Here is a 12,874-nt window from a genome sequence, read left to right on the forward strand (position 1 = left end):
GTACTAAAAAAAAAAAAAAAAAAAGTTACTGAAAGACAAAATGGACTAAGGAACTGTTCCAGATTAAAGAATACTAAGAGAATATGACAACTAATTGTAGTGTGTGATCATAGATTGGCTTTTGCAGCTAGAAAAAAAAAAAAATCTTGCTTTAAAAAATATTGGTGGGAAAACCAGTGCAATTTAAATAAAAACTGTAGTTCAAATTTTAGTACTATAATAATGTTATTTTCCTGATTTTGATCATTTTTCTCTTATGTAAAATAATGCTCTTGTTTCTAGAAGATAAACGATGATGAATTTGAGATAAAGTTGTATTAAATCTATGACAGAAGCACTAGGTGACATTATGCCTATATTGAGATATCACTTTCAGAGAACTTGATTGGTTGACTGATGAGGTAAATCAGGATGACAAACACATAAGAATGATTTGCATTATATTTGAAAATTTTCTGTTAGTCTAAAATTACTTTAAAGTAATATGTTACATATATGTACATATATATGTATGTGTGTGGATGTGGATGTATTTCCATTTCAACAATTATGGTATCCCAGGCATACAAAAATGTCTCCTTTGTTTCTATCAAAAATTGAAAAAAGAATATTACCATTACTAAAATAACATGAATGTATAACAAAACTCATTCAAATCTTCCCCCATCTGTCCATCATTTTCATTTTGTTCCAATTTTTTTTTCTCTAGGACAGCACCTTTCCAATGACAATATCTTATAATGAAACCAATATTTATCATTAAATTTCTGATTCTAGTGTCAACATACCATAAAAATATACAGTAAATATTTCATTTGAAAACTGTTTTAAAATTGTATATAAAGTTACAAAATTAAGGAAATACGTTTCCGGCAGGCCAAAGCAAGTATATATATTTAGTATTATGTTGAACTATATAATTGCCAATAATTGACTATCTTTTATTTATAATTATTTACACAGCATTCAACTTAATCTTTAAATTATCCACTTCAATAGCTCCCAGATCAACAATTTTCACTTTATGCATACATTCCTTTATAACCTATAAAGTGACTTTCTAGAAAATGCTTTCCTATTATGAAAATATTCTCGACAACCAAATAACTTAAATAAACTTTGTACAATTAGATGAAGTGTATGCTATAAACATAATTGCATAAAATAATAGCTAAATTCTGGGAATAAGCAATATATATAGGTTTTATCAAACAAGTTATTCTCTTTTAATATAGTCATTTATCAAAAGAACAATCTGAGATTATTGTACAGACACAAAAATCACTTGTTAATTGGATGGCATTTTAACTTTATTCTTAATTTTCTTGGCCATAACTACCAAGATTAAATATTGTGAAAATATTATAAAATAACACACAGCCCTACTTTCCAAATTTTAAAAATAACAATATATGGCAATACTATGCATTATTGATTGTTACTAATTCAAATTCTCAAACTTAGCTAATTTCAAATTATTTAATCCATTGACCACCTGAATGACTTAGAAATGTATGCTTTTTAAGTTTAGTATTTTGAATTTAACTGATTTCTCTTTGTGGATATCTCCATTAACACAAGGATAAAATTTAAAAGTCAGTGAATTACAAAAATGGCAGAGTAGGATTTGAGGAATGATGTTGAATAATCCATAAACAGTGTACCAAGACACTAGATATTTGAGAATTGGCTGTGTTTACTTCAGAAACCAATCTAAACGGTTACTTATTTTCTCTGTTTCATAGCTCAAATCTTTATATGTGGCATCAAAGAGAGGAAATTTATATCAGGACCTGTTAATGTAGTATCATACCTCATGATATTGCAAACTGGGAAACATAATTTTGAGAGATGGCTATTGCTACAGAGTTTCAGAACATGATCCATCTGAGATCTATTTGGAATGAGGGCATGTTGATTAGAAAATCCAGCTGAACCCTAATAAAGTTTAAAATGGTGACAAGTAGAAGTATGAGACCTACGGATTCTGTCAGAAGAGCTCTCAGTCCGAGCAGGGGAGCTGGACACGCTGCTGCTGCGATGTGATGATGGGTGACTGCCAGGCCTTCTCCCCTCCTCCAGAGAGGGGGCAGGTGAGGGGCTATCAGGAACACGCTCCTGCACCAGCAAGAGAGGGAAGGAGGGTAGAAAAGATGTTAAATACAACGGATCTTTACTTAATGAATGTTGTTTTTTCTCAATACAATAAGAAATGTAAAGAGAATAAACACTTTACTTCATCAGCATTTAACTGTACTAAAAGATATGTTTATCTTGAGCAAGCCAAATAAAGTAGAAAAAGATGGTCTATGAAACTATGGTTCTACAGGTAAGCGTGACTGCAGTAATGGCGAATGTCAATCCACTCTGGAGAAAAAGTAAGCCCTAGGAAGACGCCCAAAAATAAACAAATAAGAACCCATTAGACAACAAAGATCTCAGAGAATAAAGAAGGATTATTTATCATTTTGAAGAAATCTTTAAATATATTCCCTTATTTCTGCAAGTATCTAAAGATCATGTAATAAACACATTATCAACATGACTGACCATAATAATAATACCAGAGGAGTTTTTAACAGGTATTCCATCCTAGTACTGCTCTGGACATACTCAGTCACATTTTCAGGCATCATGGAAATGGATTATTATTTAATATTGGAATAATTTTCTTTGGTTTAAATAATTCTCAGAGTACCTACCACACCTAGCTTCAATTCAACCACACAACTGTATTAAGGGCACATTTATGAAATATATATCAATCATGTCCCAGGGAAATTTGGTACTGTGCTTCCTGATACTCTATTTTATGTCAACAGTCTTGTCTCTCTCCACACCTCCCTCTCTAAGCTCTGTACATTCTCCATTAGACAAATCTGCAAGTAGATTCTATAAATGTCTCCAATTAGCTATTATAAATGGAATTACAGATTAAGAAAGAAGGTACCCATTGGTGAACATTTTCTACTTTGAGCAGCAAAATATTTATACCCTCAGTTATTAACAGACACAGGCCTTGATGAACTGTCTTTGTAATAATAAATAGTTAAAAGTGTGGAAGAAAACTATATAAAGTATGTAGATGTATAATGTACTTATAAATAATTAGTACATTATTCCTTATTAGAGAGAAAATATGCAATTACAAAATAGAGAAAAAAAATCTAAAATGTAATTGGCCTGTAGGAGGCTAATGTTTCCAAAATGTCAATGTTAACTTAATACGGAAAACAAATAGGAGGTTCCAGGTTTTGTACTGCCAGTGAGAATGATGATCGTGCTCATCTTTGGTCAAAGTGATTCCATTAGCACCATGATGGTTTGAAATCCTGCTGCACATCAGAATCACCTGGCATGTTCTTAAATGCGCTTATGCTTGAGTTTCACTCCCAGAGATTCTGGTTTACTGAGTATTATGGCTTAATTGTGTTCCCCAAAAAGATCTGTTGAAGCCCTAACCTTTGGTCCCTATCAATATGAATGTACTTGAAAACTGAGTCTTTGCAGACATAATTAGTTAAGATGAGAACATACTGGATTAGGGTGGCTTTTAATCCCACGTGAGTCGTGTCCTTACAAGTAGATGTGAAGATAGGAGGGAAGAATGTCATGTGACCATAGAGGAAGAGATTAAACTTGTGCAGCTTCAAGCCAGGGAATGGCAAGGATTGCCAGCTGCTACCAGAAGCTATAGAAAGCGAAGGATTCTACCTAGTATCTCAAAGGGAGCATGGTCCTCATGAACTCCTGATTTTGAACTTCTAGACTCCAATAATGAGAGACAATAAATTTCTGTGGTTTTAAGGTACCCAGTTTCTGGTTCTTTGTTACAGTGGCCCTAGAAATCTAATACACTAGGTCTAAAATGGGACCCAGACTTCGGTATCTTTTTAAAAGCTCTCCCTATGATTTTAATATGGAACCAAGATTGAGCTGTACTTTTGTCACACTCTTTTAATTTTTCAATGATGTACATTGCCAATAAACATCTTCAACAGATATGCTGAGACTTCATTTTGAAGACCCTGACAAATAAAATGAAAATAACCAGAAAAAATAGCCAAGCCCTTTTCCCAAATCCATGTCATAAAATGGTTTCCTAACATATATTCCATGGAATTAAAAAAAAAAAGCGCTATAAGAAGCTTCATGACAAAACAATATTGTAAAGGAAAAGAAAAAAGAGGTCAATTAAATTTTAATCTCGAAAGTTGCAATGCGTATTACAATCTTGTCGTAATGATAACTTGTTGAACTTTAAGAGTTTTTGTACAGAGCTAATATGTGCTGATAGGCTTCTGTAAAAGACAATAAACTCCCACAGAAGGCAGACGTATTGTTAGTATTATACTAAAAAGCATTAGCCCTTTACCTTAATTGATCGGGGTTAACAATTAAGTGTTTTATTTTATGCAAATAGCAAAACTGATATGTAGGTAAATGTAAGCAACACACAATATATTTTCCATCTCAAGTTATGTGGGGTTTCCACTTAAAATACTGCAAATATGCAAATAAGTGGGAGGGAGAGAGAAAGAGAAAGAGACAGAGAGAAGAGATGGGAAGAGGAGAGAGAAAACAAGGGGGGACAAAGACAAACATACATCCCAGATATTAAAATTTGAAACTAACTTGTTCAGAGACGTTTATAACATGTATGCATTTGTTACACGCTAGGATACTACAGAAAGATGGCATCCAACTTTACAGTTTGCAGATTAAGATATTTTGAAATCTTTATCACAGGTAACATGGAAAACGAATATATTATCAGTTACTTTTCCAAGCTAACAAAATGAAGCATGTATGCTTCTAAAACGTCTAAGGCAAACAAACGACCAACAGTTTTAAAAAACAAACATGTATATGACTTAAAAGAGCAGAAACTTCACATCTGGATGCCAAAACTTACTTCCTGTCTTCTAATTATAATTACCCTAAACTATAAAGAAGTTTCAAATGGCAATATTCTCATATCAAATCATTGTAATCACAAATCAAAAGACAATCTTGGCTTGTGTTAGCCACACCATAATTCAAAAGTTTAGTTGTGTATGGTTTTGGAGTATTTGCGCACTTATCATAGAGGATGCATTTATAAGGCTATATGTAGAACTCCTTTATAATTTGTATAAATATATCAAGAAACAATACTGCAGCTAACTGCATACATGTCCAGAGATATACTCTTAAAGTCTAATCTTGATTTCTTGAAATTCTAATAGAAGCATAGTTTGTCTAAGCTTTAGAGCTAATTCCTAATACATCTAACTGTTAGCACTTGGATTACACAGAAATACATGGTGTGTATTTAAGAAAATGCATTGATATATTTTTGTATAAAGAGAATTTTCTAAATTAACCATTCTATTTTATTCCAAAGTTCACTCACATCAATGCTTATCTATCAATAAATTTTAACATTTTTCTTAATCATTATGTTAATGCATGTTTGGCTGAACAGACATAAAGTACAATCTTGAAATAAATCAGTCTCTCTAAAATGATTTTGCAAGTCTGATTTTCCTGTCATAATAGATTTCTTGGTAGTGCTAATGGAAAGCATGAGAATATAATTTTTCTGAGATATTTAACTCATAAAATGCTTAAATATTTAATGCATAAATCTCTGGAAACAATTATTATGCCATTAAAATAATTCCTTGTTTATTTTAACATTTCCCATATAAGTAGAAAAATGCTTTATTAGTCAATGTACTTAAATGTCAAAGTTGTCTGTGATCATCCCTTTAATTCATGAATTGTTCAGTTACTCATTTACACATCCAAAATACTCTTAAAAAGGCATATTATACTAAGTAAAAATAAATTAGATTGAAATCTTTATGTAAAATGCATTTTAAAAGCATAATAAAGCTCAGTAAATATGTATAAGTAAAATAATAGTATTTAATTTACCTTTAACTTAGTTTTTGCTTTAATTGTAGTTTTGTGTTCAAGAACAAAGGATACAAAAACAACAGTTAATACTGTTATTTGAAGAAAATATTTTAATTTATGCAAGTGTTTATGATTTAAAAGCTTAACTATTCAATTGAAACTTTCTATAAATTGAGACACAACATATTCAGTCATTTTACTTAATGTATAATTTCAATCTTTGGAACCTAATGTATTGTTCTTTGAAGAATTTCATTAAAGTAAAATCCATTGAGCAAGTAAGATTTGAATACATTGTTGCACAATAAATTAATTTATTTCAACAGCTTAATTCTTTTATCATATTTATATGCTTGCCTTTCCAGAGTATTCTATAAGATGGAGAATAATGGAGACAATAAAGAATTGCTTAGGAGGGAATCTCATAATTATTACTGAAACAAAATAGATAATGAGTTTTATTCAGACATAATAAGAAAGAAGCAGTTCAATGTCTATAAGAAAACTATGTAAACTGGATTTATCATTTCATTTGTGTAATACCCTTTAACGTCCAATAAGGGGCTGAAGCAGGACAGAGAGAACGAATATTTAATTTAATACTTCAACACACTCCTTTATAGTCCTGAATCAACTTTACCAATCAATAAAACACAATCTTTTGCAATGTTCCATCTTTATAAAACTCGCCACAATAATAAATGAAAATTTAAGAGGAGCACTCTTTCACTGAAAAAAAAAAAAAAGGTCATACTAATAAACTAATAGTAACCGGAGGACAAAAAAGGAAAAGCTGCATTTTTGCCTCTGGGAAGAACAAGAAGTATTTGGTGTGTAGGATAATTCAGAATCAAAAATAGAATTCAAAAACAACATACTCAAATTCTAAAATAAACAGTGTAAAATGTTCAGTACTACACACATGTGATTAAACATTTTAAAAATTTCATTATCTCAGTTCTCCTCTCTGCACCTTAAAAATGTATTATATTTTATCAAATTAAAATATTTTCTTAGGGTAAGTATAATCACAACTCATTTCTCTAAAGGATTATTTCATTTAGTTTTTATTTATTTTGCTCTCCTTTTAATTCTCTTCATTTTTTGTTTTTCAATAGAGATTCTCTAACTGAACAGGATATAGAAGTGGGAAAACAATTTGTAATATTAAATTTTTGTTGTTGTTGTTTGTTTTTTTGAGTCAGGGTCTTGCTCTGTCACCCAGGCTAGAGTGCAGTGGCACAATCTCGGCTCACTGCAACCTCCACCTCCCTGGTTCAAGCAATTCTCCTACCTCAGCCTCTGAGTAGCTGGGATTACAGGCGTCTGCCACCAAACTTGATTAATTTTTTGTATTGTTAGCTGAGACGGGGTTTCAGCATGTCGGTCAGGCTGGTCTAAGTGATCCACCAGCCTAGGCCTCCCAAAGTGCTGGGATTACAGCTGTGAGCCACCGTGCCCAGCCTAAATGTTATCTTCATATAACTTTTAATTTATAAAATTGATGAAGTTGACCAGCACTTTATATAACCAAAACTTCTCAGCTTTAAGAAAACTCAGGCTCAAATACATTAGTTCAATGAGTATTTACTGAACACTTACTATGTACCAGGCAGGATCTAGGTTCTGGTTACATAAAATTAAACAAAACTGACAAAAATTATTGTCCCCATGGAGCATATATCACACCTGGTAAATGTTGTTAGTGAAATGCAACATCATTGACACTAAGAGTGGTGTTCAAATTCCTTTGCTTTGGAAAAATGTGCAAAGAAGACAAATAGCAGAATTGGAATCCTGTATTCAGAAAAATGCTTAAAAGTACTTTTAAGAGACAGTCAATGATGTTAGCATGCTTACACCTAGTTGAGGACCAGGCAGCCCAAATCAAGATTCCATAGCTGAGGAAGCCCCAAATAATATTTACATAGCTTTAAAAAAAAACTTTGATTATGGAACTCCATAAATACTCAAGTTTTCTAAACATGAAACTGGCAAGACCCCGTGAAACAACTTAATATAATCTGAAACAACTTAACTTTATTCTCCTGTTGTCTTTTTGAACTTACTCATTGGTGGTAGGGGACTATATTTTTCCCAAGTGTGTATGAAAATTCACATAGCCTTGTAACTTTTTAGGTTGCTATTTGATAATATAAATTTGCTTTAAGCAGCAAAATAAAATCTTGACTCAGGAATTATAATTCAGCACCATCTGACAATGAATACTGGCGTCTTAATTAAAAGGTAGGACTTCTTTCTTTACTACAGCCAAGGGATATAGAGATGAAGGAAGAACAGCAAGGAAAAAAAGGTAAGTGCTGATTTGACCAGCATTGCCTTTAACTGGCATCAATCTCTCCTGCATGGTAAATGTTTAAAGTCAATGTTTAACTTAGTAAGGAACAAATGTATGTTCTTACAGGCCACCACCACCACTATGAGCCTCTCATCTGCAGTTCCCTTGATGAGTCTAATTCATCCCAATGTTCCTTTGACCCTTGAGTTTCCTGCATAGTTACCTCTGGAGGCTTGGTACAAGTTGATGTGGGGGTACGACTACTTCATAGATGGTGTTGCAAGCTTCTATAATGAGCATAATGTCTGCTTGGTTGCCTTTTATGATGCCAGCCACCACTGATGATCATGGTCGCAATTCATCACTTCATTAGGGCTTGTAATTTCCTACACACTTATTTTCTAGAAGGTTTCTATGATCACAAAGTTACCTCATGAATCATTTGGTTATTCTTAGGATCAGTTTTTATGGAAAAGGCAGGAAAAATGCTTGATCCCTTCCATGTATTTATCTTTAAGCCTTTATTGTCCTTTAAAAACATCAGTTCCCCCCAAATTCTCCAAATGTGAACAATGAGTTTCTTTTTTAGTATTATTATAAAATCAAGCATTTAAACATGTGATGTATTTCAAGGCCTAGATGTTTCATTAGTGGTGGTTGTGTTGTAATACTTTCTTTTTTAGGTTAACATCTTTTTTCATATTTAATATCAATATTCAAATAAACCTAAAGAGAACATACTTATTATTTTTTAAAACCAAGTAAAATTAAATAAATTTTTGTGAAAAAAATTTATGTCTAAAAGCTCTGCATACACTTGGAGATTTTTATGTTTGTACAAAGAATAAACTATTCTGTAACTAAAAACCAACATGAAGTATATGATGTCACATTGCTCTAAGATTCACTCTACTTTGTGAATTAGGTCACTCTGGTTGTAGTTTTTATAATCTTTTCACATTTTAAACTTCATGCAAGTAACATCCTGTTTCCTAATACAGTATTTTAAGAACTTGCTTTAAAGTATGAGTACAATTATAAACAGCGTTTTTCAATGTTTAATTCTTTAAATGAGAATGTCACAAAGTCTCTCTCTCACACACACACATGCACAGACACACACAGAGACACATAACAGATCAGCAAAGAAAATTAACGAATTTAAGTCATATTCCCTATTTTCAGAAAACTGTAATGTGTCATAAGAAGAAAGATGTGTATCCAACAATGTAGGGTAATTTGAATGTCATCATATTTCTCAAAAACAGTTCTATGTTATCTCTGAAAAAAATCTTAAAATGCATTTAAAAATCTGCTTTGCATACTATGCACTACAAACCCAAAAGTCCTGATTAAAATAAAGCTGCGTATAAAATTTTTATTAGGTAAAATGAGCAGAACAAAAAAAAATAGAAAGTCAGAGAGACAGAGGTCTCACCATAGAAGTATGACTATATTTCACAGGCTTGACAGGGATTCCCTGCAAAATTCTAGAACTTACTTTTAAACAAATGATTTTGGATACTTGGAGAGAAAACAAAATAGTAATGAGAAGAAAATAATGTTGGTATATAAAGACTTCCAAAGATTAAATAAATAGTAATTTAATCTTTATGACAACCTAATGGGGTAGTGCTGTTATTACATAAAATACAAATATATTAAATAATTTGTCTATGGTCACACTGGTTGGAGGTGATAAAGTCGAAATGCAAATCCAAGTAGTCTTTTTTCAGAACACATGCCTTAAATCACTAAAATATGCTGCGTTTCTTCCTTTCACTATTACTTCTATTTCAGCAAGTACGCCCTTTTCAAAATCTTTATAACATTGTGAATTTATTAAATAAAAACTGAGAAAAATATTGATTCATTCAAGAGAATTTTGGGTTACATAATGAATGATACCTAAGAGAATCAATTAATAGAACATTTCAACTTATTAGGAATTCTCCAATGACAAGAGAAATTGATCTCTTGATTTATATTGTTTATTTTACTCAGTCGTTTAACGTAATAAAGGAATACATCCTTTTAAAATTTGGAAATGATACAAAGGTGGCATAAATAGCTAATGTGATAGTCTGGGATGTTAATACTCCAAAGTATCTGAAGACCCTAAATCAATGGAATGGAAACTAAAAATCTTAATGTGGATAAATAAAAATTCCTAACACAAATAAAAGATGAAGAAAAACTGGCTTAACAGAATTTTATGTCAGAAAGGCATGAAATGTACTGAGTCAGACATTCAACTACCAAACAAAATCTTTGGAACTATGACTACATTTATAGATTATTGTCCAAATTGAGGTTGATGTCTAGTGTCTCTTCATTGCACAATTCACTTCTAGAGTATGGTGTGATAGAGGGTGACTTCAATAAAAAGAAGGCAACCAAAAAGATGAAGAATAGTCAGAACAAATTAGAATAATTGGCCTAGAAAACAGAAACACTATAGGCACTAAAACAGAGGGCTTAAATATTGAAATGGCTAGAACCTAGAAGAATTAGTAGACATTTTTCTTCAAATAAAATATAACAAAGTTAAGGTAGAAGCTATTGAGATGCAAATTTTAATTTGATTAATGAATATACTTCTCACTCTTAAATCTGCTGAAAATAGATTAGGCATCCTACAAAAGCTTAGATATATGAAAATGAATAAGAAGGATGTGGGAATTATTTCTCCATTATGGGGGAAGCTGAATTACATAACATCTCAAGTCTAAGTTGCTTTATGTTCTATGAATGCTAAACAGAAAAAGTATATGGGTATCATTGACACATAAGAAATTAATACAGGTACAGTTTATAATTATTTAATATATCCCCACAGATATTTAGCGAGAGAGAGACAGGAGAGGAAATTGTGCATATATCCACACAACTAGGAATTTCAATTAGACCTATTATTGTCTAAAGAGTATGTCAATTTCCTCCTCAAAATAATCTTGATTATACTCAATACAACCAGCCATAGAAAGTCTAAGTTCAAGGCTTTAGCAGACTCTCTCATGAACGCTTGCATGTAAAGCAAATAACAATGCCATAGTGGGAAAGTCTTCATCTATCTAGTTTTCTTTTCCTCAGTGCATTTAATTCTTTCAACCCTAAATTCTCAATTATTTTAATTTTTTTTTCTACTTGGTTCTATTGTGTTTGAGAGTTTAGTTTGAGCTGCTTCAGTTTTCCATAGTCTGAGATTCATGTGGGTTTGGGATAATCAGAGGTCTAACACAGGTATCGACAAACTTTTTTGGTAAAAGGCCAAACAGCAAGTATTTTAGTCCACTCTGTCTTTGCATGTGAAAATAGCCATAGACATTACATAAATTTAGATATGGCTCTGTCCCCAGAAAAAACTTTATTTACCAACACTACATTTTGAATTTCATATAATTCTCATGTGTCATGAAATATTTTTCTTTTTATTTTTTTCCAACCACTTAAAAATGCAAAACCATTCTTAACTCACAGGCCATGAAAACCAGCAGCAGAATAGATTTCACCCAACGTTGGCAGCTTGGGGATTCAGACCCTGCTCCATTTCATGTACTGGCATTGATATGTTAATGAAAAAACTTTTGGAGCTCCTTTACTTCATAGAAACAGCTAAACAAAGAATATTTTTAAAATATATAACTCTGAAAGCTGTATTTTTGCTTCTCTTTTGTCCTACAAATTGTTATTGCCATTTGCATTTAGGTTGAGTTTTAATTTTAAGTCTTGTCATTACTCTTAAAAAATGTAAATGGTATATTCCAGCATTTAGAACATCTCTCAAAGTTCTATTTTCTGTTTAAAGACTATTTCTCCAGTTGCTTTATAATTCCGTCATACAGGCTCAATCTTCTATGACATTTAACACGTCACTTGCAACAGACTTTCACACTTATTAATAGAATCTTCCCAGACAAACCAATGTGTAGTCCATATTCTAGTTATCCACGTGTCCAATACTGTTAAAGGTGACATAGGAGTCAGCTGTTTTCTTTGAGGAAAATAAAAACTTCCCCAAAACTAAACTTAATTAACATCTATTAGGTGAGTTTATAAACTCTTCTTGTTCTATACAGTCAACCAATATATACATTTAGACAGGTTGATTTGTTAACTTCTCCTCTCTAATACTTAGAACTTCTTGGAGGACCTATTCCTCACCCTTATTCTCTGAGGACACTCACTTGATTTTTATCAGGTTATGTGGATGTCTTTAAGCATCTATAACTGCTTAGAATCGTCTCATGCCTTTCTTAAAATGTGTTTACTTTCAATAATCTTTACCTGTCAGTGTCAAATTCGAAGCTATACAAATGGCCTGTCTCACAAAATAATAAGGGCACCATGATAAAAAATGGGCCTTTCAGCCCTTCCACAACAGCCAATTGAACTTCACTTTGATGTTGGCAATAAAAACTATCAGATTTTACTTTTTGTAATCATTCTCAATTAGAGCCATTGTTCCCTATTTGGCTGCTACTATTACCATTTACATCAACACTTTCAAAATCCACAACTCCCTTTAATCTGCATGTAACCAAGTTTCTGAAAATATTTGCAACAGGAGAAGAAGTGAGATATCTCTATGACTTAGTAGGTGTTGGCACATATCTTAAAACATAAAACGACCTCACTTTCTTCTCTTTTTGTGTATTTTCTTCCTTTCTC

The 12,874-nt window shown here is 32.0% G+C and overlaps 1 protein-coding gene across 6 annotated transcripts in view; it reads right to left on the bottom strand.

Moving 5' to 3' along the window:
- DACH1 (dachshund family transcription factor 1) overlaps positions 1-12,874 on the bottom strand; it is a 429,239-nt gene that overhangs the window by 119,872 nt on the left and 296,493 nt on the right. For 4 of the 6 annotated variants that reach the window (NM_080759.6, NM_001366712.1, XM_017020396.2 and 1 more), the window contains one exon: positions 1,983-2,118. The exons of the other annotated variants lie outside the window; for them this stretch is intronic. In NM_080759.6, coding sequence (NP_542937.3) covers positions 1,983-2,118 — 136 coding nt within the window. The remainder of the gene's footprint in view (positions 1-1,982; positions 2,119-12,874) is intronic. 6 annotated transcript variants of the gene reach the window in all.

The sequence above is a fragment of the Homo sapiens genome, chromosome 13, assembly GCF_000001405.40.
Source record: "Homo sapiens chromosome 13, GRCh38.p14 Primary Assembly".
Taxonomy (NCBI): Eukaryota; Metazoa; Chordata; class Mammalia; order Primates; family Hominidae; genus Homo; species Homo sapiens.